The sequence below is a fragment of the Homo sapiens genome, chromosome 4 (assembly GCF_000001405.40).
Source record: "Homo sapiens chromosome 4, GRCh38.p14 Primary Assembly".
Lineage (NCBI taxonomy): Eukaryota > Metazoa > Chordata > Mammalia > Primates > Hominidae > Homo > Homo sapiens.
In genome coordinates this window covers 133088711-133115985 of record NC_000004.12, presented here as the reverse complement: position 1 = coordinate 133115985, position 27275 = coordinate 133088711, and the positions used below count along the sequence as shown (strand labels likewise).

The 27275-nt window shown below is 32.4% G+C and overlaps 1 long non-coding RNA gene across 1 annotated transcript in view; it reads left to right on the top strand.

Moving 5' to 3' along the window:
• PCDH10-DT (PCDH10 divergent transcript) overlaps positions 1-22126 on the top strand; it is a 55257-nt gene extending 33131 nt beyond the window's left edge. The window contains exons 8-9 of the long non-coding RNA NR_125885.1: positions 19103-19250; positions 20036-22126. This is a non-coding gene — a long non-coding RNA (PCDH10 divergent transcript). The remainder of the gene's footprint in view (positions 1-19102; positions 19251-20035) is intronic.
• Positions 22127-27275: the final 5149 nt, after the last annotated feature.

Here is a 27275-nt window from a genome sequence, read left to right as displayed (position 1 = left end):
GCATTGTATGGTTCCAAAATCTGTTTTTCATGTTATTCTTTGGGGTGTGATCTGTTCCTGATTAGTTTAATGTTTGTGCCTTAATTGTAGTATATCCTTAAGGAAATTGAGTATCGGTAGACTATTTATTGCAGTTGAAGATATAGCAAAAGAAATAAGTTTCTAGGAGGGAAATACCTACAAGTGAATGATAATACAGTGTTAGTGTAAAACAGTCTTTCACTAAAGAATATATATACCATTATTTACTCAAAAAATATTCAGCAACAATTTTACCCACAGGTGAAATGCACTGGAGTGTCCTAATTTTGTATCATGTGTCCATTCTGCCATTCTCAGGCTAATGGCACTCTTCACGACAAGCCTGATTGCACTGTTAAGCTCCAGAGGAAAAAATGTGGCTATAGAGTATATTAAAATACATACAATTGAAAAGGAAGATGTTCATTTTTGCAAGCAGAAGATTACCAACAGAATGCTAAAATTAAAGGTCAGTTTTAGAATGAGCTCTCATATTATGGAGTTTACGAACAAACTATGTATTATATAAGAAAAGAAAAAACAATTTTATACCGAAGTAGTGCTTTCAAAAAAGTATTTTAGTTTTCTTATAGAAAAGTAGAAAAATGAAAAATACATGAACCCTTTCTTAACCCTAATCTATGTTTTTTAAGAATTTTTAAAATGTTTCCTGTGTGAACTAAAGAGGCAAGAAAGTGAAAAGTGTTTTTTAAAAATGGAGACACTATGGGAAAATATAGGCAAATGAAGGAGTACAAATAGAAAATGTAATTTTATTGAATAACAGAAAAGAAAATAGTGCAAAACAGCCTCTCTATTCTTTTGTTCTTGGTATCAAAGCTTTTATTCCTGGTGATTGGTGGAATCCTTTTGGTTACTAAGCTCCCTTGAACAAAATCTAAAATCATATTAACTCAAATTCTGTGCTATTACAAACCATCTCATCTCATAACAGGACTTTAGTATATTTTTCTTAATATCAAAGAAATTATATGGGCTAAATAATTCTCAAAGCACCACATAAAGTTTAGGTATTTCTTTAGAAGAAACAAAATATATGTTCTTTTTCACATTTGTGTTTGATTTTATTATAAAATTTGACAGAAGAAACCAAGGAAATGGAAAAGAGAAACCTCTAGAGACTTTGTATTTTCTTAGCTGACAAAAAAGCTTCAGTTTTAGCAATTTTTCTTTCTCTATTTCCTTTTTATAAGGTCTGACTGAAACCAGACAAGAAAAGAATATTACGTTCTGTTTTTGGCTTTTTAGGTTTTTTTTTTTCAGCTAAAAGAAAGATTTGAAGTGCCTTTACAAGGTTATTTCCAAGGTAATTTTTCTTTTATTTTTAAATAACAAATTTTTTGAGATTCAAAATCAACATCCAGTCCATACGCCACTGAATATAAAGTTCCCAGTGGTGAAATACGCACGAAGTTAGCCTTGCCAGACTGTGACTGACAAATGTGGGGATAAGGAAAGGAAAGATTTGAAATATAAAAATTCCAAGACTAAGCTTTGGGCTTTGGTTTTTGGTGATGAGAGTTAGAGGCACAAGAGAAATCAGTTGTATTACAACTGTAAACAACACACACCTTGCTTTGCTTTTGTGTCTGCCTACATGCTTATAGTCCTAAAGATTTATGGGAAGTGCAGAAAGAAGAATGCAAGGCCTCTTTTAATATAATCAATCCTATTGCCGTCACAGAAGAAAGTATGTTACCTGTGATAGCAGCTTAACGTCACAAAGTTTCCATCTTAACAGTACAATCCACAGCTTGTATTGCTCTAAGGAGCCATTTGGATAGTTAATATGGAGGGTGCAGAAGTAAAGAATGTAATAATGCTATAATTGTTCTAGTGAATACTATGCTTAAGTGATGCTCAAATTAAGATGTTTGACCAACAGAACTCTTTCTTGAATTCCAGGTAGCCATGATCTTTGCACATACTTTTAATTTAAAAAAAAAGATTTTTAAATTTTAAATATTATGTTATCCAGCAACTCAGATCTCCTTGAGGTTACCAATAGACATGATTCATTTGCTGTTGCTGTTCTTTTCTATATCACACCATATGACATTTCTTTGAAAAGTCATAATCTTTTCATTTCAGCGTTAGCAAAACCATCAAATTTAAATCATTGATAGTAATCCTTAAAAGGTTTTGAGATGATAATGACTCTATCTGTGAAGTATCTAGTCATTTAGTTCATTTCAAATACCAATTATCATTTTGATTTACTTGAGAATAATGAATGTAAGAAGCTTTGTGGTAATTTTTATGTGGGTGGAAAAATATAGCATGCACTCATGAATGTCTTGGTATTTGTTTCAGATAGATTTTTTTATTACAGCACATGGTAAAAATTATGCCACAAACTATAAATAAATTAATTATCATAGATAATGCTCCCATACATAACATTAGGTACTTTAAGTAGCTAGGATCAAGGAGGCAGCAATGCCCTGACTTTTTTTTCTGAAAGCGAGACAGTTACCTGCATTTATCTGGTTTCTGATTTTTTGAATTCCCCCAGAAAGTGGGAAGAATTTCCTTCCTTTAGAATCTTGAAATCTGTGTATATAACCCTAACTAATATAGTTTAGTTTTGCCCTGTTTTGAACTTTATATAACCAAATTTTGTGGTATGCAGTATCCTATGGTGTTATCTTCACTGAATAACATGTTTATATAAAATTCACCCATGTTGTTGGTTGTAGCTTTTGATTTTCCCCTTTATGCTGCATAGTATTCCATTATATGCTTATACAACAATTTATTAATCCATTTGATTGTGTATTTGGTTGTTTGGTGGGAGGTATAATAGTGCTGCTATGATCAATCCTATATATTTTCTATAATACATGCACAAACATTACTGTATGTATGAAGCGGAAGTGGTGACTCGAATGTATGCATTCAAAAGTTATTACAGCAATATATGCTTTTGTCTGCAGTTTTAATGATTCTGGGTGCTACATACAGTAAGAATCAACTGATGTTTTCAGGCTTTATGATTGTTGCAAACTGGTGGCTGTTTAGTGGTATTGTGATTTTAATTTGGAATTCCTTGCTTACTAATAACCTTGAACACCATTTGGGTTTATAGGGTATTTAAATTTTCTCTTTTTGTAGTTTCTCTTCAAGTCTTTTGACCATTTAAAAACATTGTTTGCTGTGGTTTTTTGATTGATTTTTTTTGAGTTCCTTTCATATTCCACTTTTAAATCCTTTGTCAGTGTTATGTGTTGCAATTATCTTTTTCTGTGCTGTGACATCCTTTTACTTTCTTCATCTTTTTTTGATGAACAGTTTAAAGAAAAAAAGAAACTTACTCACTTTAAAGTACTTTTGGTGTTTTGTTTATTTTTTTCCCCAAGATTATAAAGATACTATCCTGTTTTACTATGTTATTCTCTTAAGCCTTCGCAGAGTTTTTTATTTGCTTGCTTTTGCTTTTTAATTATTTTTTGACATATACGTCTATAATCTACCTGGTGTTATTTTTGCCTAGTGTGATTGGTTTGGTCCTGTTTAATTTTTTTCATGTAGATACCTAATTATCCCATTTCTTGAGAAGTCTGATATTTCCATACAATTCTTTTCTGACAAATCTACATTGCTTCTTTCTCATAAGTAAAATATCTATAATGCATGGGTCTGGGTTCAAGCTCTCCATTCTGTTTCCTTGTTCCATTGTCTGCCTTTGTGTCAGTACCAAACTGTCCTAATTATTGTGGCTTTATAGCAAGCCTAAATATCTTATAGAGTATTTGCTTCAATCCTGTGATTATTTTAAAAGATCTTGACCATTGATTTCCACATAAATATTTGAATTAACTGGTCAAATTCCACACATACACCCTACTAAAAGTTTGGTTTATGATTACATTAAATTAGTCTACAAATTAGGAGGAGATTCAGATCTCTGCAGTACTGATTTTTCCAATCCATGTAATACTATGTATCTGGATTTATTTAATTCTTTAAAATTCATCAATAATTTTTTTTTAATCTTGCACATCATTTATGTATTCATTACTGAGAACTTGATAATATTTTATTAATAACATGCAAAATGATTTTCATTGATTTATTATTGGTACGTGTGCTACAGCATTGCTAAATTCTTGCTAATTCAAATAATTTAACTATTCCTTACTGGGTATTTTATTGAAATATAGTCTTATTATTTTTCTTAAAATTTGTATAAATTTTTATTTTCTCCTCTTGCCTTACTACACTGATGGCAGATTCCAGCACAGTGTTCATTGAAATCCATATTTTCTGGTTCCCAATCTTGTCACCAATCTCAAAAGGAAAACTTTCAAAATTAAATATATTTTTGTAAAGCTCTTTAGATCTTCTAAGTCTAAGGAATTTCTCCATTAGAGTCTGCTTACATTTTTATAATGAGTACTACAATGTTTTGTCTGTCTGTATTGAGAATTCCATGTGATTTTTAAAATATCTTAAGATGGCAGAATACAAATATAGATTTACCAATATTGAGACAACTTTTCTTTATTGGTATAAATCCAACTTAGACATGATATATTATCCTTTTTATGTAATTCGTCAAATGTATTAATGCTTATAAAATTATAAATATTAGTAAATTACAAAAACTGCTAAGTATTTTCTTACATGTATTCATAGGTGAGATAAAACTATAACTTTTCTTTTTGGTTTTGTCCTTGTCAGGTTGTGGTATAGAAGGTGCATATCCTCTTTTTCAGTTCTCTTAAATGATTTATATATATTTAAATTGTTTTTGAGATTTTAATAAAAATCTCTAGCAAAGACATTCAAGCCTGCTGCTTTCTTTCCAAGAGGATTTTTTAATTTTAATACAATTATTTCATTAATTGATTGTTATTATTACTTAAATCAGATATAGATGAATGTTAATGGTATAGGAACTTTAGGTTTTGCATGTTTTGAAATAGTTTTGTTCATGTGTAATTGTTTAAAGATTTGTCCACTTTTGGCAAAATTTTGAATATCTTGGAATTTTTTGTTCATAATAAACTATCATTTTGTGATATCTACAGGTCATCTGTCTCTTTTTAAGAGAAAAATAATATCCAAAGAAGTTCCACCACTCAGAAGACTTTTACATTCCATGTCTCATTTGCCAGAATTTCTTCTTACAAGCTGTAAACCAATCATGGTTAGGGTAATGTAATTACCTTGATTTGTTTTTAAGTGATAGAGTTTTCCTTCCTTTTTGATGATTTTACTAGGGAAGTGTGAACACTTGAACAACTCAGTCAGCAATAAAGAATGAGGTTAGGACTGGATTTAGCTGGACAATCAACATTGTCTAATATAGACAGAAAAGAGAAAAACAGAGAGAAGAAAAGTGAGTTCGTTTAATTTGTTGCTTAAACTGATTGGAGTTGGAATCCCGACCCCTTGTAGCTGGAAAAGTCCTGATTACTTTTCCTGATTGCTTGCAAAATAGTGGTTCTTTATTTCTTATTTTGGTTATAGTTTATTTACATAATGTGACTTGATATCTGAGGGATAATTTTAGTTTTTAAGCCCAGTTGGGATGCTGTAGAATCAGTGGAGAATGAGCATGTGATATTTTAAGGAATGATGTCATATCTTTACCTGAGCCAGTTTGAAAGTGCACTGGGACTAAGATGAGACACTTTCTTTGCTATATTAGTATTCAGGAATGCTAGTGGCTATGACAAAGAGGCCAAAACAATAATGGTTAAGACAAAATAGTATTTTATTTTTCTAAGTCTGAAGTATATATGTTAATACTTATACTAACTATATACAATATATCGTTATATATAATAATATAACAATACTTATATTAACAATATATTAAATTGCTTAATTTCACAGGAAGGTGAAAGAGAAAGTGATCTTGAGAGCCCAGATTGGAAGTAGGATACATCCTTTTGTATGCATACTATTGAAACAATTTATTTAAATGGCTACATCTAACCTCAAGGGACACATGCAGTATAGTTGGACATGGATATACATAGCACTTCCATTATTGAAAGGAAGAGAATTTATTTTTTGGTAAACAACTTGTAGTCTCTGCTCTACTGCCAGTCATTGTTTAAAGTTAGCGTATATATCAGAAAAAGAAAAAAAAATTCTTAGAACTAAATTTTGCAATGTTTCTAACAGTTTTTCTATGACACTAAATATTTATAATATGATATAAGTAGAATAATGTTTCACAGTTAAAAAAACTAAAACTCCTACCACTTGTATGTCTTCGTAAAAATGTCATTTTGCATTGTATAAAACGTTATATATTTCCAATTTTCTTTCAAAACTAGTATGTACTCTTGGTTTTGATGTGAATACCAGCCATTTCATCACTGGGTTATCTCTATTTATGTGGTGATGGTAGCAAGCTTTTCAATACTCAGGAAACTTATTTATCAGTGAAATAGTCCTTCACAAATGTTAAGTCAATTGAGAGTTTTTAGGTTGTTTTTGTTCTTGTTTATTATTTCTGATCTCTACTTTCATGGATGTATTATTGTGTTCTAATGAGGTGAGGCTAATCTGACAGAATATGAATACAGTAGAAATTAGATAAAAGATATTATAAAAGTAAAAATACCTTGCAGAAAAGGAAACATCAATATTTATTATGTTCATTTGTATTCTGTGAACTACATCTAAAGAAAATACTCTTTAAGATTCTTTGTAGATTTTGTACTGGGTGAAACACTGTCAAAATGGAAGCACATTGTTGACACACAAAAATGTTAAATTAAAACAACAACAACCAACACTGTGTCATCATACTCTCATCTAATTGTTATCAAAGCACCATACTGACTTTAATGCTTTACTCTTTTAGATATATTTATCAAGAAATTAGGCTCAAATTTTGGCAACATTGCAACAGTGGAAATCCTATTTTGTTTTTTTCACTTAACCTAATCAAATATGGTTCTTAGAAGGTGTTTGTTTCAACAAAGTATTATATGATAATTTTTGCCTAATTTAGTCCCCTTTCTTAAAACATTGATCATGAGTAAAAAAAAGTTTATCATCCTGCCTCTTAGTCTTCTTGTTATTTTCTTTTTAATAGGAAGATGACATTACTGAGGTTATTGAGTTTACTCCTATTGTTTTTAAATCTTACAAGAAATTACTACAATTTCTAACTTAGTAAATAAAAACCAAGATAAATTCTTTTTTTGTAGTTATTTATTTATTTTAATAGGCTTTAATTTTTTGAGCAGTTTTAGGTTTACAGCAAAACTGAGTAGAAAATACAGAGATTTTATTTACACTTATTTATTTTAATAGACTTTAATTTTTTGAGCAGTTTTAGGTTTACAGCAAAACAGAGTGGAAAGTAAAGATATTTCCTGTTTACCTACTGCTCCCACACATGTGTAGCCTCCCCATTATCAATATTGTCCAACAGTTGTAATGATTGATGAACTTACAGTGACATCATGATCAGCTGTAGCCCATAGTTAACATTAGGGTTTATACATGGTGGTGTGCATTCTGTGGGTTTGGATAGATTTGTAATGGCATATATCCACCATTATAGTATTATACAGGGTAGTTTCACTGCCCTAAACATCCTCTGCACTCTGCCTGTTCATCTTCCTTCCCTAGTAACCTTTGGCAGCTACTGATTTTTTTTTATTTTTTTATTTTTTATTTTATTTATTTTTATTTTTTTGAGACAGAGTCTCGCTCTGTCGCCCAGGCTAGAGTGCAGTGGTGTGATCTCGGCTCACTGCAACTTCCACCTCCCGGGTTCAAGCGATTCTCCTGCCTCAGCCTCCTGAGTAACTGGGATTACAGGCGTGCACAATCACGCTCAGTGAATTTTTTTGTATTTTTTGTAGAGACAGGGTTTCACCATGTTGGTCAGGCTGGTCTTGAACTCCTGACCTCGTGATCCACCCGCCTCGGCCTCCCAAAGTGCTAGGATTACAGGCATTGTGAGCCACCGTGCCCGGCCGCTACTGATCTTTTTACTGTCTCCATACTTTTTCTATTTTCCCGAAAGTCAAACAATTAGGATTAAAGAGTAATAGCCTTTTCAGACTGGCTTCTTTTACTTAGTAAATGCTTTTATGTTTCCTCCATTTTTTTTAATGGCTTAATAGCTCATTTCTTTTTAGCACAGAGTAGCATTACTTTGTCTGGATGTGCCACCATTTACTCATCTATTCACCTACTGACTGACATCTTGGTTGCTTATAAGTTTTGGCAATTATGAACAAAGCTAATATAAGCACCTTTGTGTATGTTTTTGTGTGGACATAAGTTTTAAACTTTTTTGGATTAATACCAAGGGAGCATGACTTCTGGATTGTGTGGTAAGAGTGTGTTTAGTTTTATAAGAACCCACCAAACTGTTTTTCAAAGTGTTGTATCATTTTGTATTCACATCAGCAATTAATGAGAGTGTCTGTTGTTCCACACAGTAAACAGCATTTAGTGTTGTTAGTGTTCTGGATTGTGGCCATTCTAATAGCTGTGTGGCAGAGAGGTGGTGGTATTGCATTGTTGTCTTAGTATATTTATTTATATATATATAATTTATAGACTTATTTATGAGCATTTCTACAAAACAATGAAAACATTAACCAAGATGGTATATTCTCTATCCTAGTTTTTGTTTGGACTGAGCAATTTTTGTTGTCTATTATGTTGTAAAATTATTACAAATAACCATATTTGTTCCAAATCAAATTAACTGTTAGTTTCATTCTTTGATACCTGGGTCAGCAAAATAGTCCTTGAGTTATTAAGCCATAAACCAATATGCCCACTCTTCAGAATAGTAGTGTTAGAAATATTTATAAAATTGCTAACCTAAGGGTGGTCATATTCAGTAATGACAATTTTTTAATAAAATTAAACATCTATATTAATTTTGTATTGGTTTTGTATTAGTCTGTTTTCACACTGCCAAGAAGACATGACCTGAGACTGGGTAATTTATAAGCAAAAGTTAATTGACTCATAGTTCCACATGACTGGAGAGGCCTTAGGAAGCTTACAGTCATGGTGAAAGGCAAAGGGGAAGCAAGGCATGTATTACATAGTGGCAGGAGAGAAAGAGTGAAGAAGTAAGTGCCACACTTTTAAACCACTGGATCTCCTGAGAACTTATATCAGCAGAGAACAGCACAGGGGGAACCACCCCCATGATCCAATCACCTACTACCAGGTCCCTCCCTCAACACGTGAGGATTACAACTGGAGATGAGATTTGAGTGCGGACATAGAGCCAAACCATATCAGGTATCAAATATTCAAACATTTATTGCCCTCATGTAGCATTTCCTAACATTAACTTTTGGAACAGGCTATTTTTGGCTCAATTAATTTATCCTAGAGAATATTCATTTTGGACACTAAAAACAAGTGTTTTCTTCTTAGTCTTTATTCTTTATGATGATCAACCGAATATTTTCACTTAAAGTACTAATCAGCATGCAAAAGCTTAATTTTTTTTCCTCCTATTCTACCTTCTCATCCTCCTCCTCTTGTCATTGTCTTCTCTTTCTTTAGCAATAATAATTGCAGTGAGGAAACAGCCATGACAGCCTATTTTAATAGAAATGACATATTTGATTAAAACTTGATTACTTTTAAAAGAATATTATTTATACTACTTTTCAGCTCCATTTTACATCTTTATCATCTACTTTCGTAGCTGTCTTAACTGTCAATGTATTGGCACCCTTTACCCATACCAACTCAATAGTCAAGTATAATAACCAGGATGACTATTTATGTTTTCCCTTTTATCATACTAGTTAATTTTAGCATTAAGAAATATGAAGCCTCTGTACTTAGTTCTTAAGTTTCAGTATGGGTCCTCACACTTTTTGGTCTGACATTACATTATTAGAAGTTGTTGAGACCAACCCCAAACACTTTTTTAAAGTTTGTTTTTCTGGCTTCTATCTAACAGTGTTTACTGTATTAGAAATTGAAACAAACATTTCCAAAACATTTTTATTGCATATTAACATAAATATTATGGAAAATAATGTCAGTTTTGAAACAAAAATGAGAAAAGTGGCATTGTTTTACATCTTTGCAAATCTCTTTAATATCTGCCTCAATAGGAGATTCATGGATTTGTATATCTCCTTCTGCATCGGTCTGTTGTCATGTCGTATGTCATGTAGCCTTTAGAAACTTCCCCTGCATTCTTGTGTGAGAAGAAGAGTGTTAAAAGCAAATAATGCCTTATTATTATAAGAAAAATACTTCTGACCTTGTGGATCCCCCGAAAAAGTGTTGGAATCTCTAGGAGTCCTTTGACCATACTTTGAGAACCACTGCTACTGAAAAATATTATCCTGCTGATTCAATACATCTTGCTTTTCTCTCAGCTTCACATCTCTTATGATCAGTTGCTTGTGAATTTTTACATTCCAGTGCTACACTAATGGATTTCTGATGATATCTAGGTCAAAGTATGGTGTTAGAGTTATCTCTAACTTTGCATGTGTAATTCCTCTGCTAAGGAAGCTTTCACTCATCTTCCAAACATTACTCAGATGTCACTTTCCCTGTGATACATTTATCACTTGCTTATATTTTTCTTTTAATGTACTTCACAAATACTTTTCCTATTTCACAACCAGTCAGGTATTAATTACAGTTTGCAAGCCAAGATGTGTTTAAAGTATTACTTTATTTCCTTTAAATAAAGTTGATTTTTACTATTATACTCTGGCTTTCTAAATTTACAGGAAATTATATCTCCAGTGTGGTAGGTTCTCCTTCCCCAACCTAATGTCCATTCAGAATCTGAGATGCCTACTTTGTGCGCAAGGAATGGACAGGAGTTTCTGATGACTGGTGATGGTCCATACTGACATTCTCACTGCCTGTGCTTACAGTGGTTTATTCAACTAACACTTTTTAGCTGTTCCCATGCCATGTGTGAGGTGTCAAATCTCTGCTGTGCCTGGTGACCAGCCAACGAACATTCTTCTTTGAGGCCTTGAAGCAATGTCCCATTACTGTTTGGATCTGTACCTCTGGGCCCCACCAAACAATAGTTTAAGGGGAACCTCAACTTACTTCTTGCTTTTCCAAGACTCTTATTATCTTGCCACAAAAACTATTATTATCAGTAGGTATAGGACTTACAAAACAAGTGTTCAGAATTCTGACAAGCTAATTTTAATTTATTTTTAGTTATATACCTATTCCAAGTACATGAGGCTTGAGGCATACTACTTTCTTGAAGAAGAGGCAGAAAAAAGGTAACAATCTGGGAGAGGGAAAAGAGCAATAATTAATATACTAAAGTTTACCCAACCATACATATATTAGACATATTATTTTATTTGGTGAGTATTAGCTTTGTAGAATATACACGCGTGGATGGACACACATGCCAGTACTAGATGTGAAGTCCTGATGTAGGTAGATTCTAGTGCCAAGCATAGTGACCAGCATTTATATAATAGGACCTATATAAATGTTTGTTAAAGTCATCTAGAAAAATATAACTAGGTATTTTTAACTACAAATACATTGTTTATATCTTAATTCTCTTTCCTTTCTCTTTTTTTAAGAGGTGGGTTTTTAAGAGATGGGTTAAAGGCTGTAGTGCAATGGCTCTTAAGAGGTGGAATCACAGTGCACTATAGCTTCAAACTCCTGGACCCAAGCATTCCTCCTGCTTCGGACTCCTGAGTATTGGGGATTACAGCCACGTGCTACTACGTTGGCTTTGTCTCTTAATTCTCTTTGAAAAAGGATGTAAGCTATAACTTGTTCTTTATTATTTGAATTGAGAAACTGAAGGACTAAAAGACCACATATAAAATATTGATACCCTTCTTTAAGGATTTTAATATACTAAACAAGTTTTTAATATACTAAGAACATTTACTGAATATCAATGCACTTTAGACTCTTTATTGAGGTACTGATAGGAAGTATGCAATAGGTAGGCAATATGTTTTCTGATCCAGAATTGTTTATAAAGTAAAATTTCCTTGCCAGTGCTGGAAAATTATACCGAACTAGCATACTGAAGTATGCACACTAATCTATTTGTCTACTGGAGTTTCTTCTGAGCATTAAATGAAATGATATTTTAAAATAGCTAATACAGTATGTCATGGCTGTTAGATTCTGCTCGATAAATGACAGCTATTTACTTTACTTTTTTATTTCCCTCTAACTATAGACCTTGTGGGTGTATAGCACAGCTAGCTATTATAGAGCTATGAGGAATACCAGTACCTGCTGCTGCCAATAATTCCTTGATGGATTATCTCATAAAACTAGTCCCAGATTTCAAAAATTTGTTTGAATTTAGGAAATGAGTTAATATTCTTAATTGTAAGTATCATTTTTGATTTCTACCACACAGATTTTTTTATTGGCATCACTATTGAAAATACTTCCTTTTGTCTGACAATAAATCAAAACAAACCCTCATTGTGTTTATGTGCATGGTTACATTAAATATGTTTTAAAGGTCTCTTTTCTCTGAACTGGGTCTAAATATGTTTTTCATTCTTAAATAGTTACAGGAATAGATGAGCTTTTCCTCTGTTTTCTTTACCAAATGGTAGTTCTTTCAATCCCAAGGTTTGTTCAGTGATCACTATCATTGAAATTCTGAGATGTATTTCACTTTTATACTCACTGTTAACTTGCCTAACTTAGTTCATCTAAGCTTGTGTGCAGGTCAACTTTGACAAGTAATTTAGAAGGTTGTCATATTTGACATGAAACTCCTGCGATCATGGATTTTCCACTCTATTAATGCTGTCAACTGAGCTGTTTTCTGACATTCTAAAATAAATGTGAGCTGTATTTACTATTATTCATAAGACAGATCACTCAACTCCTCTGAATGAAAAATATTTTACTGGCTAGTAAGGAAAGTTATATTAAAAAAATTTAGTGGGATGATCATTAAAATCCCCACAATGTAATTTAATTGGAATTTTCTTTGGATATACTTAAATTTAACCATTGTGTTGTTCTTTCTTAGGCTAAATGAATACAGCAATAATTTTTTAAAACTTCAAGTCAAGAGGTTTTAGCCTGCCTTTGTTCGTTTCCATTTTGAATCAGCAAATAATTTCTCTAAAAGTTGCAGTGTAAATGTACCATGGGAGGCAAGCCTCTGCCTCCCCCTACCGCTTGATGGAGAGGGAAAACTCTGGAATGAGTCTTTAAATTAAGCAGAGGCTCTCTTCCAGAATGAAAGGTTTCTGTAGATGTAGTTCCAGGAAGTTTAACTGTTTGCAATAAAGTGAGTGCAGCAATCTATTAATCAGCGTAGAATAGTGGTTAAAAGCAGGTTCTTTATAGCCAGATGTCCTGGGTGTACAGTCCTGTCTCTACCACATTGGACCTTGATTAAGTTACTTTACCTCCCTTTGCTTCCATTTCCTCAATTGTGAAAGGGGGATAAAAATAAAGCAACCTGATCAAGTTGCTATGAGGCACAAATGAATGAGTTTTCATTTCTTATTTTTAAAACATTAGGAATTATGGCTGGCACACACAGTAAACCCTATATGAGTTAATAATTATATAAATACATGAAGTTATTTATTACTAAGGTATGCCAAGTACTGGGTTTAGAGAAGAGAGACAGACATGACTCTTGTTCTTAGGAAGATTATAGTCTGGGCAGCAGGGAGTCGGTACACGTGAATAGACTGAGATGGAGAGGGAGGGTGCCACAAATTTCTGCAAGTCAGTATACTGTAATGACCTATTGTCCTTCGGCATTTGTGTTAATTCCATATGCTTTACTCACATGGCCTCTGCTGGGGCTTCATTTTTTCCACTATGAACAGCGAACTTACTCCGTTGCATACCCTCACAAGACAACTGCCATCAATCTATTCAGGAATGATGGTGTCCCCTGCTCATCAATACATTTATTAATGCCTCGGAAAAGGAAAACTCTTAGTCATTATTTCTTTTAATTTTTTATGATCCTATTAATTATTATGCTCTTTATTGATTTGTTATCACCCATATTCTTCTAGTATGTAATCTTTCCAGCATGTTAGGGTAAGTCCTTCTCTGTCTTATTCTCTTTTAATTCTGCAGAACCTAGGATAGGTTCTAGTATATGGAGGCACTTAGTAAGGAATGCATGCATTCATGCATGAATGAATATGCCTGTGTTCTCCCGTGTAAATGTTAATGTTGGATAGATTTCCAGAAATTTGAATTGCTTTATCTAAAGTTAGGGACATTCTAATTTTATGATGTACCATCTAACTATCCTTCAAATGGATTTTACTAATGGACATTTTCATCAAATATGTATGAGAATGCACATTTCTATAAATTCTTACCAATACATGACCTTAGTTGTATTATCAGTCAATATGTGAAAAATATTTCTATTGATTTAATTTGTATATCCTTGATGATTGGTAAATTTGAGCATTTAAAAAATATATATATTTTTTATATGTATATATATGTATACACACACACATATACTGGCACTTTACATTTCTTTCTCTGTAAATAGTCTGTTTACACAATTTGCTCATTTTCTTATTTTTAAAAAATTATTGATTTGTAAGAAGTCATTTTGTTCTATTGATGCTATTCATTATATATTGGTTTGTACTCTACAACCTTTATAAAATCTTGTGTAGTTATAGTATTTTAACTGTGGTTTCAATTGTATTTATGATATAGTATATCTTCTTATTTTTGAATAACAGCCTGTTTTCTTTCTTTCCATTTTTAAGCATTCTGTGTTGTTCTTGCCTACCGCCATAGCTTGTACTCCTATATTCTTCAGAATAGGAAAGGCAATCACCAGCTACCTTGTCTTCTCCTTGATCTTAGAGAAAATGTCTTAATTATGTTTTTATTTGTCGGTTGTTTGTTTTTGCATGCTTTTTATCAAGTTTAGGAAGTCAATTTATTTTTCTAATTTGCCAATAGATTTTTTTAAAGTAATGGATGGATGTTTAATTTTATCACCATTTCTATTGAGAGGACCATATGATTTCCTTTCATTAATATGCTGATGTAATGAATTATATTAATTGATCTGTAAACATAAATAAACATACTTGCACTCCTGAAATGAACCCCACTTTGGCATAGCTATTTTATTGTTATTGTTTTTAAACTTTGATTGACCTGAGTTTGTCTATATTTTGTACCTAAATTTTGTACCTAAATTTAATCATGAGTTTTGATTAGTCTTTCTTGTGATGTTTTCATTAGTTTTTAATTTCAAGTTTATGCTAATAAGTGATATTTCCTTTCCTTTTTTCTTTTAATTTCTTATTTTCTGTATATTACTATAATCATTAATACATGATTATATGTATATGTTTATATATATATGTGATTTCAACAACTGTGAAAACATCCCTAAAATCATAGGGAAAATTAATTCTTTTAGTACTATTTGTAAAATAGAACCTAAATTTTCCACTGATGTAAAATGCCATTTTCTTATAATATATTAAGGACAGATGCTTCTGTGTTCTTTTCTGTTTCATTGGTCATCTTTCATCAATAATATATTCCTTAATAATGACTTTTTAAAATAAAAACTCTTTATAGCTAAAAGACCATAACCCCATCTCTAACATTTTGTTTGTTCAAGACTATCTTATGGATTAAATACTTAAATGTAAAACCCAAAACTGTAAAAACCCTGGAAGACAACCTAGGCAATACCATTTAGTACGTAGACACGAGCAAAGATTTCATGACAATGTTGCCAAAAGCAATTGCAACAAAAGCAAAAATTGACAAATGAGATCTAATTAAACTAAAGCGCTTCTGCACAGCAAAAGAAACTAGGGACAGAGTAAACAGACAGCCTACAAAATGGGAGAAAAATTTTGCAAACTATGCATCTGACAAAGGTCTAATAACCAGAATCTATAAGGAACTTAAATTTACAAGGAAAAAACAAACAACCCCATTAAAAAGTGGGCAAAGGACATGAACAGACACTTTTCAAAAGAAGACATACATGCAACCAACAATCATGAGAGAAAGCTTAACATCACTGATCATTAGAGAAATGCGAATCAAAACTACAATGAGATACCATCTCACACCAGTCAGAAGGGCTATTATTAAGAAGTCAAAAAATAACAGATACTGGCCAGGTTGTAGAGAAAAAGGAATGCTCATACACTGTTGGTGGGAGTGTAAATTCTTTCAACCATTGTGGAAGACAGTGCAGTGATTCCTCAAAGGCCTAAAGATAGAAATGCATTTCACCCAGCAAACCCAGAACCCAATACTGCGTATATACGCAAAGGAATATTAATCATTCCATTACAAAGACGCATGCATCCAAGTGTGCATTGCAGTACTGTTCACAATACCAGAGACATGGAATCAACTAAATTCCCATCAATGACAGACTAGATAAAGAAAATGTGGTACATATACACCATGGAATACTATGCAGCCATAAAAAACATGAGATCATGTCCTTTGCAGGGACATGGATGGAGCTGGAGACCATTATTCTTAGCAAACTAATGCAGGATCAGAAAACCAAATACTGCTTGCACTTATAAGTGAGAGGTAAATGATGAGACCGCATGGGCATATAGAGGGGAACGACACACATCGGGGCCTTATAGAGGGTAGAGGTTGAGAGAAGGGAGAGGATCAGGAAAAATAACTAATGGGCACTAAGCTTAATACTGGGGTGATGAAATAACCTGTACAATAAAGCCACATGACAGAAATTTACCTATGTAACAAATCTGCACATGTACTCCTGAACTAAAAATTTAAAATAAAAAAGACTATCAGGACTGGACATGGTGGCTCAGACTATAGTCCCAACACTTTGGGAAGCCAAGGCAGGAGGATCACTTGAAGCCAAGAGTTCAAGAAGAGTATCTTGGCTATGTTTTTGGCATTTTGCTCTTTCACATGAAGTTAATAATACATTTTCCAGTTACAGAGGGGGAAAATACTAGAATTTGAATTAGAATTTCATATATTCTATCTATTTATTGGGAGAGAATTGACATCTTCATGATAGTGTGTTTCTCTTTGTTTTCCATGAATATAAATAAGACTTTATTTAGGGATTCTTAACTCTCTTTCAATATTATCTTAACATCTTCTGCATTATGGCTGTTTCTTCTTTTGTTAAGTTTATTTTTAGCATTTCACACTGTGTATTGCTATTTATAATGCTATTTAAAATAAATTACCTAGCTACTTCGTGCTTGAAATACATTTAATTTTTGATAAGCCCTGTTACTGAATGCTTACCACTTCTAGTAACTTATCTGATTATTTTTTAGTTTTCAATTCTGATAATTATATGAATTTCGAATAATTAGAATTTTGTTTCTTTTTTTTCCAGTGATTTTCTTTCCCCCTTTTTTGTGGCAGACCTCTGTAAGATTTTGAATAAAAGTGATGATAACAAGCATACTTGTATTTTATATTACTTCCAAGTTAATGATAGTAACTGTTTCTCATTAAAAATAAGGTTTGCTTTAGGTGATTATTTGAACATCCCTTTTGTCAGCCTGTGTAAGTGCCTTTCTATTCCTAGTGCACTAAGTTTTCACTTGTTAACAATATTATTATGTATAAATTTCAGCAAATAACTTTTCTACATTTATTGGGATGATTTTATATTTTTTCTTTTAATATATTACTGTACATTCATGTTTGTAAAATAAACTCAGTTTGGTCATGTTGCACTTCTTTATGCTACTCTTGGTTTGATTTTCTAATACTGTTTTTAGGATTATTATAGGTATGTTCATAAACGAGAAACGTTTATTTTTTGTATCAATTTCAAAGTAAGGTATATGCACTCTTATCTAGTCTCTAAATTGCCCTATGTATTGAAATATCTTATCCTTGAAAGTCTGTTTGAATTGGCCTATACAAAAATCTAGGCCTGGTGATTTTTGGATTTCTTTTTTTAATTACTATGCTAGTTTATTTAATAGTTATTATAGTACAAGTGAGGCTTTATTTTTTTCTTAATCAGTTTTATATTTAAAAAATATATATTCAGTTTCACTTAACTTTTCAAAACTGTTGACATAAAATTTGTTTATTATACAATATGATTTTATTTAAATCTCTAGTGTATCTATTTGTCTATCCTTCCACCTGACATAAGTTGCCATGCTTTTTTTATTAGCCCAGCCAAAATTTATCGCTTTTAGTCATTTTTTTGTGTATGTTTGTTATTGTTTAAAGAAGCTATGTTATATTCTTTCTTTCTTTTAGCAGGGAGCTATAAGAAAAGCAAAATCTTAGGAAAACATGACCAATGTACAGAAAAAAATAGAAGTGAATAGAGAAAAATTAGTAGGTACATATGATTGGAAACACCTATTTCTAGATTTTAAAAACTATGAAATCAAATTGAAGAGAGATTTATGTAAAAGACGGAGGTCTTAAAATTTCTCAGATAATGTGAATAAGCCTTAAAATAATCACCAGATTCAGCGTATGATATTCCTACTTAAGCCTATTTTCTAATAACTATCCCTGGTAATTTGAAATAATGATCTCCTGAAAGGGGCAAAGGAGAAAAAAATAGTTAGACTCTAGAGTTTTGTCTACGAAGGATCTTTATGAATGGCTTATTAGCACATGAAATTGACTTGAAAGAAATACATCCAAAGTCTATTAAGTTTTTGAGGAAATTGTTTTCTCAAAGAAATCCTGAGCTAGGAGGAAAATTACACTCAAAGCAATCCTCTGGCCCCTACATTTTCATAAGAAAGAAACAACGAGTATAAGATGGATAGTTCCCAAGGGTAAAGAACAAGCAAGTGTTTCCCAGGGAGCAGAACCTGAGGTCATGGAGAACAATAAACAAGGAAGTAACTTTTAGCCAGGAATGTGGGTCTCATTAAGGAACTTTCCCCACAGAGGGGCAAATCATGTGTGTCTCATTAGGGGTGCTTTGTAAGACCTACCCAGCAGGATTGTATGGTTATTATTATCAGGTGTGTGTTCTGTGTTCTTTTTTCCCTTTCTTAAATGTTACTTGTCTACTATAGTTATCTTATCCCTGCTCTACCACTGACAGCATACATAAGACTGATTGTTTTTATATCAGGCTTTGCAGGACCACAACAACCACTCCCAGTCATGATGGAGAGAAGTGTTCAATACCCACAGATCCTGAACGTTGAGCTGATTATACTAACTAGATGGGACTTAGTTTTGTCTACCGTGGGGTGAGCGTATACTACCTGAGGGAACAGGTACACATGAATATTTATTATTACAATAACTGTTTTTGCAGAACTTGCTTACTGCTTACCAACATCCTGATTCTCCTCTTATTGATGTTAGAAATAGACTTTTCCTAGCTATTCTTGCTTTTTTGTGTGGACATTTCCTGAGGTCTAACCAATGAAGTATGAACACAGTGGATATATATCATTTCTAGACTTGACTCATTAAAAACTCCCATGTATGGTCCTTTAAGCTTTATTTGCTCCCTGTCTAGTGGAATGGAGAAGACTGTCAGGGAAGTCTTGGATGGCATAGGGTGAAGATGGCAGAGTATCTGTTGGCCATTTGGAGGAGAATTGTTCTCTGATCTGTTTACTCTTGTAAACAAGAAATACATTTCCATTATGTGCTATTTCATATTTTGAGTCCATTTGTTGCAGTAGCTAGTTGATCTTGCCTAATAAAAACAAGATTATTGAAGAAGTAACCGTAAGCACATGTATTAATAAATTCATCCTGAATGAAACATCATTTACTTCTAGCTTCACATTATTGTTTGTAATCAATTTTACAATAATACTTGTATAACTATGTGGTCCTAATTCAATGTCTAAATCACCAAATTATTTTTTATGGTGAAAACAGTAAGTTTTAAGTGAAATAATTAAATTCAGCATGAAAAGAGCTAAATTAAAAGAATATTTCTGGCTTATGTCATGATCTATTAAAGTGCATTTTATATAATCAGAAATCTGTCCTACTCCTTTCCTTTGGCTTAGATTTTCTCTATGTTGATTTCTTTTCTGCACAGGTTCTCTATGGTGAAGATGGCAACTTGCTGACTCAGTCTCAGAATGCGTTAAATCCACATATTCTGGCAAGTGGAGTTCTGCTTCTCCAATATCTCTTCCAGACTAAGTCTCGAAAGGACAGTAATTGATCCACCCTGAGTCATATGCCCATGTCCAAAGCAATGAGTTTGGGAAATTTCATGACACACTCCTAATTTTGTGGTAGGAGACACATCAGAACCACACAATGAGTCAGTCCTATTTATGAAATAGAGGTTCATCTATCAGATGAAAGGGAAAAAAGTTGTAAAAACAAAACAGATGTTCACTAATGGGGATCTATCTGAATTTCACCTGTAACTACAAATGCTCACAAGTAGATTTACAGTTTTCCTAGAGTGTCATGAATTTAAAAACATATGCATGGAATCATAAAGTAATATCCTAATCACCTCTCACAACCTTTCTCTCCTTAACATAAAATGAGAATATTTTAGCAGCAGGAGAAGGATTTTCATTTATAGACCTTTATCAGACACTAATGTAGGATTGAGTTTGACCTGATACAGTGTTCTATCTCTGAGTGTTGTCACTCAGTTTTATCATAAATAAAATTTATTTTATATGATATCATATAGAGAACAAATTTACTTATTTTTCTCATGTAATCATGTAATCAATTGTTCCAACATAATCCATTGAATAGATATTGTGGCATTTCCCTAATTATTTATAAAGGCACTGTTACTAGATATGAATATTTATATATGAGGATATGAATCGTGGCTCTCTGATTTGTTCATTATTTGCTTGTCTATTCCTGTGCCAGTATCATACAATTGGTACTAATATAGTGTTCTGATATTGACAGGATGAAGTGCTCCTTCTAATGATGTAGCTTTAAATTTGTCTTGGTTGTGCATTTCTTTTTATTCTTCCATAGAGATTTGTGGTTCAGTTGTCAGCTTTGAAAATCACTTTTGGGATTTGAATTTGAATTGCATGAAATTTGTAGACTAACTTGTAGAAAATAGACATTTTTATGATATGAATTTACACATCCTTGTAACCATGGGTGTGTTATTTATTTTCACTTTTGAATATTATTGTGGGTATTTAGTAATAAAAATAACAATCGACGAGTTACATGGTGGTTACTATGTGACAGATGTTGTCAAAGTTCCATCCATATATCAACTTATTATATATTCTTATGGGAAGAGACCGTTATTATCTCCATTACACAAGTAAGAAAATCGAGGTACAAAGAGCTTAAGTAACATGTGCTAAGTCATATAAGAGTAAAGCTTTATTTGAATCCATGCAGTTTGTCTCCAGAGCTTGAAATCCATTTTATTTTATTTTATTTTTGCTTTTTAAAAAAAATTTTTTTGAGACGGAATCTCGCTTTGTTGCCCAGGCTGGAGTGCAGTGGCACAATCGCGGCTCATTGCAACCTCCACCTCCTGGGTTCAAGCAATTCTCCTGCCTCAGCCTCCCGAGTAGCTGGGACTACAGGTGGGCACCACCACGCCCAGCTAATTTTTTGTATTTTTAGTAGAGAATGGGGTTTCACCATGTTAGCCAGGATGGTCTCGATCTCATGACCTCATGTTCCACCTGCCTCGGTCTCCCAAAGTGCTGGGATTACAGGCGTGAGCCACTGCATCCAGCCTGAAATATTTACCAGTATCTGATATTGCCTCACTAAGAACTTTGCCCAACTCCTTAGTGATTCTACCATTGGCTTAGTATTTTGGATTTTCTAGTAGACAATAATATCGTGTGCATAAAGCAAATACAATTATTATTACAATAAAATTTTTAAACTACTCATTTGTACTTGCTTTCATAAAGCCTTAGCTAATTCCAACAAAATATTGATTACTGTGGGAGAGAGTGGTAAATCTTATTTTGTACCTAATATTAAATAAAATGCTACTAAATATAAGTGAGATGCTTGCTATAAGTTTTAGTAGTTAAACACTATAAAGTTATTTCTTGTCTATTTTCAAGAATTTTTTATTATTTTAAATGCATGTGCAATTTTTTTAAAAAGTATTGTTTTGCATCTAATGTTAAATAAAATGCTTCTAAGTATTAGTACTAAATATCAGTGAGAGGCTTGTTGTAAGTTTTAGTAGTTAAACACTATAAAGTTATTTATTTTCTATTTTCAAGAGTTTATATTATTATAAATGCATGTACAATTAAAAAAGTCTTATTTGCTCTTCTTTTCTAATGTTAAAACATTTGTGCTTTCCTGAGATGAATGCTGTGCTCTCATGAAAGATTGCAGAGTCAAAAAGTAGCCTCTGGAGTTAAGACTTTCTGGTTTTAGAGCCTCCTATGGCCACTTACTAATTATGGGTCTTAGGAGAGTTACTGAACCTTCATAATGGGTACCAATCCTAGATCCTGTCAAAAGGGATCCTTCTCTTGGCGATGACTTTGGAAGATCCTTTGCATGACAATAAAAAAAAAAGTATTATTAGATCTAATTTATTAGATAACACTTGGGTGTCTCTAAGTGTTATGGTGGTAAACGTTCAACAGGCTCTCAAAAATGCATATATGTATATGTTTATATAGATACATATACACTCAAATGTGTATATATGTATATATACACACTAATATGTTTATCATAAATTTTATTGATATAAAGGTTGTGTAACACAAGTTACAAATAATAATAAAATATTCAATATTATTTATTGTAAATTCTGTATAGCCGATTGCTTTTCATAGAATGCTTTCATTGACTTTTGCTGAACTCCTGTATATGGAGCCAGCTTACAAGTGTATTCACTAACAAGTGTAGTCCTGGCATGAATGTTGGTTGATATTTTCATTTACATTAATAAGACAGTGAAATAACACAGACATGTATTTGAACTTCACTTGTTCATCAGTGATGTGAGCAACTTCTTTGCCGAATTAGATAATAGGTTTAGAATAATGGAATAATATTTTCTCATTTTTTTTTCTACTAGCAAGGTAATAGCTACAGACAAGACACATTTTTAGGCTTAATGCACGTTATTAACATTTTCTCTATGACTTTTTAAAGTCTAGACAACAAAACAGTAAATGAAACCCTGATCTATAGTATTCGCCCTGTTTTTTTATGTAAATTCTCCCAACATGGCTAATTTCAAGCTTCTAGTGTGGGAGGACATGCACAGTGCACACCATTATATGGTAGCCCCATCTCACAGGTGAGATGAGATAAATAATCTCAAGAGCATATAAAACAGCAAACTGTATTAAAGTAATTAGGAATTGATGAATTTTGAATATTCCTTTACTTTTAATATAATTTATTCAAATATAAGTTTATAAAGTTCAATTTCTAGTAGTATCTATATTAAAAATTGGCTTGCAAAATTTTTGAAAATTTAACAGTTCTTGGGAGCCTGTGTGAACACACTCCAACACGTACATCCCTGGCACATCTGCTGGCGGAATACAGCTCCCACTGCTGCCATATGACAACCCATTGCACTAGACAGATACTTTGCTACACCTTTCAGATTCCAGAAAAACATTCTTCACATCTCTTGGCCTATGTTTTAAACCAAAAAGGTGACCACATTCATTATGAAATGTATAGATTGGGCTGCTCCCTTTGTTGGATATGGACTTTGCTCTTGAGCACAAGGAGGATCTGAGAAGCAGAAGTGCAAAGGAAAAATAGAAGACACATTAATTAACTTGACAAATCTTTCCTTCAGAAAGGACCAGAGCAATAGGTTTTGCACAATGGCATATCAAGTTAAATAGTACAGACCTTCTTTCTTTTGGGGCTGCAATTCATGGTTTAGAGTTACACATTCACTAATGTTACACAAAGCAAAAAAAGAAACATTTTGCAACTCTCAACAGTTGAAATTATCTTGAAATTGTGTATGTGTCCTCTACACAAAACATGAAAGACAGGTAAAATCATTGACAATGAAATGACCATTGAACATTTAAATTGCAAATAACATTGTCTTATAAAATACACATTAATATTTAATTAAAATTTAAAAATAAATGCATAAAATTACATTTATTGAAATAATATGATTTCAAATACGGATATTTATTAATTGTAACTTGTATTTTATCTTTAAGTTGTTTGGTATAAATGTTTACTGAACTATGATATACTTCGAGAAAAAGTACACCAAATTTAAATGTTAGTCTCGAATTTTCACACGAGAAAAGCACGTTTGTGGAACCACCACCGGATGCAGAAACAGAACTTCACCAGCATTCCAGAAGTGTTCCACATTACGCTGACCCTTTTGGAGTCACTGTCAATTCCAAAGAGTAATCTTTATGCTGACTTCTTACATCAGAGGTTACTATTGCTGCTGTTGCTTCTTTTCTATGTATGAAACTCTACAGCCATCTTTTTGTGTGTCTTGATTCTTTCTCTCAGCATTGTTTGTGAGATATATTCATGTTGTAGCACAAAGATTTAATAGTTCATTTTCCTTGCCATATAGCAGTCCATTGCTTGAATATGCCACTATTTCTTAATTGTTTTATTGATGGACATTAGAATTATTTTCCAAATTTATGATAAATATTAATACTATGAATATATGTTGTATATCTTTTGACAAATAAGTTTTTAAATTTCTGTAGATATATATGTAGAATGGTAATAATGGAATCGCAGTGCATGTGTGGGTTAACCTATGGAACTACAGCCTAACTATTTTATAAATAGTACTAGTTTGCACTTCCATCAGCAGCATATGAGAGGTCAAATTTCTCTATACACTATACACCTGCTAACACTTGAAATTTGTTTCGTTTTTCATTTTAATATTATGGTGGATATACAGTGGTATTGCAACCTGTTTTACTTTGCATCTCTTTAATAACTATGACTAACGAATTTCAGCATTTTTCATATATATAAATTTGTCACTTGGATTTTTTTTGAAGAGTCTGTGTTTTTCCCTTTTGTTTTCTACTTTTTCATATTGATTTTTAAGAGTTTGTCTTTATTTCATTTATGTTTTTGCTGGATATAACAAATATATATCCAACAAAAATAAATATTTGACATAAATATTGAAGATGTATTGATTTTAATATGCAAATATTAAATATTTTTGCCTTTTTTTTTTTTGGAGACAGGGTCTTGCTCTCTTGCCTAGGCTGGATTGCAGTGATGCAATCATGGCTCACTGTAGACTCCACCTCCTAGGCTCAAGTGATGGTCTCTCCTCAGCCTCTCAAGTGGCCAGGCCACAGGTGTGATCCACCACTCCTGGCTAATTTTTTAAGTTTTTGTAGAGATGGAGGTCTCATTATGTCGCCCAGGCTGTTCTTGAACTCCTGGACTCAAGCGATCCTCCCAAAGTGCTAGGATTACAGTTGTGAGCCACCATGCCCAGACTTTTTTCCATTCTCAATAGTGTATTTTGACCAAATAAATTTTAATGTAACCCAAGGTACCATTTTTTTATATTATTATTATTTTTCTTTCATAAGAAATCCTTGATAACCAAGATCAGAAGTATAGTTGCCTATACTTTCTAATAAAATCCTTGTTGCTTTCCTTCTATATTTAGATCTATAGACCATCTGCAGTTGACTTTTGTTTATGATATGAGGTGTTAAGATTCATTTTTAATGTGACTGCCTAGTTGATTCAGCACCATTTTTAGAATTATCTTCCTTACCTAATGTATTGCGCCGTTGCTTTATTATTATATGACCTTGCATGGTATCTGTTTCTAGACCCTATTTAAACACTTTTAAAATATTTTTTAGGCTTGTCAATAAAACAGTTTGTAAATTGTAGTAGTTAATAATAAGTCTTGATACCTGGTAATGTAGGTTCTCCAGCTTTCTCCTCTGAGATTGTCTTTGTTACTCTTGGCTCTTTACATTCCTATATATACTTTGGAAACAGTTTGCCAACTTCTATGTAGACACACAAGTACCCACACAGGCACCAACTTGGATCCTGATTAGGATGGCATAAAAGCTATACATGAATTTGGGGAAATTTATATTATTAAAATACACTTCCAATTCATGAATGTGCTATATTCTTCTAGTTAACATTTTGACTGATACCTATCATTAATCTCATGAAGTTTTCAGTGTACTGGTTTGCACATTTACTTTTAGATATTTGATTTTTATGCTATTAAAATTGTATTATATTTAAAATTTTTATTTTTTTTATAATTGCATGTGTTCTATAGAAAGGCACTATTGGTTGTAATATGTTGGATTTGCATCCTGAAACCTAGCTAAACTCACTTATTTTTTTTTTTCTTTTGAGACTGGTTTCACTATGTTACCTGTGCTGGTCTCAAACTCATAGGCTCAAGTGATTCACCTGCCTCGGCCTACCACAGTGTTGGGATTACAGGTGTGAGCCACAGCACCTGGCCTGACTTATTAATTTTAATATTTTGAAAATACTTTTAGAGGTTCTGCAATAATAGTCATGTCACCTGTAAATAATGAAAGTTTTCATACATATTTTAAAAATTTCCAACTTCCTTAACTGCCATTGTTTAAACCTTTTCTTGTCTGGTTGCAGTTGTCTACCACCTCTTGTGTAGTGCTGAACAAATTTTGGTTAGTGAGAATCTTTGTATTCCTCCTAATCTCAGGATTAAGTCTTTTAAAAATTCATTATTAAGAATAAGATTTACTTTCCAAAAGTTTTCTTTTTAATAAATAATGATTTTTGAATAATATCAAATCATTTAAAAATCGATTGGGATAATATTTTCATTGTTTATGTACCAAAATCTGTAACTTTCAAATGCTAAACACACTTAGCATGGATGGAATAGAACCCACTTGGTTGTGATGTTATTTTTCTCTTTCATTGTTTGATTCAATTTACAGATATTTTCTTTAGAGTATTACCATTTGTGCTAATGAGAGAGGTGGTTCTGTAATTTTTCTTTCTTATAATGCCCTTTTCAGGTTTTTGTTTGCAATTTGCGACATGTTGGAAATACTTATTTCTTTCGTTGTCTTCTAGAAGAGTTTATATAAAATTGATGCTATTTCCTTCTTCAATATTTGGATTTGACTAGTGGAGCTTTTTGTGCATGAAGTTTTATTTGTAGAAAGTGTTAGAAATGGATTCAGTTTCTTTAAACATGCTAGATCTAGTATTCTAGTTTTTTTCTAAGTTGTGTTTTCCAAGGCGTACTACCATTTCATTTATATTTTCAAATTTATTAAAGTTTACAATATTCTTAGGTTATCTCTTAATCTTTA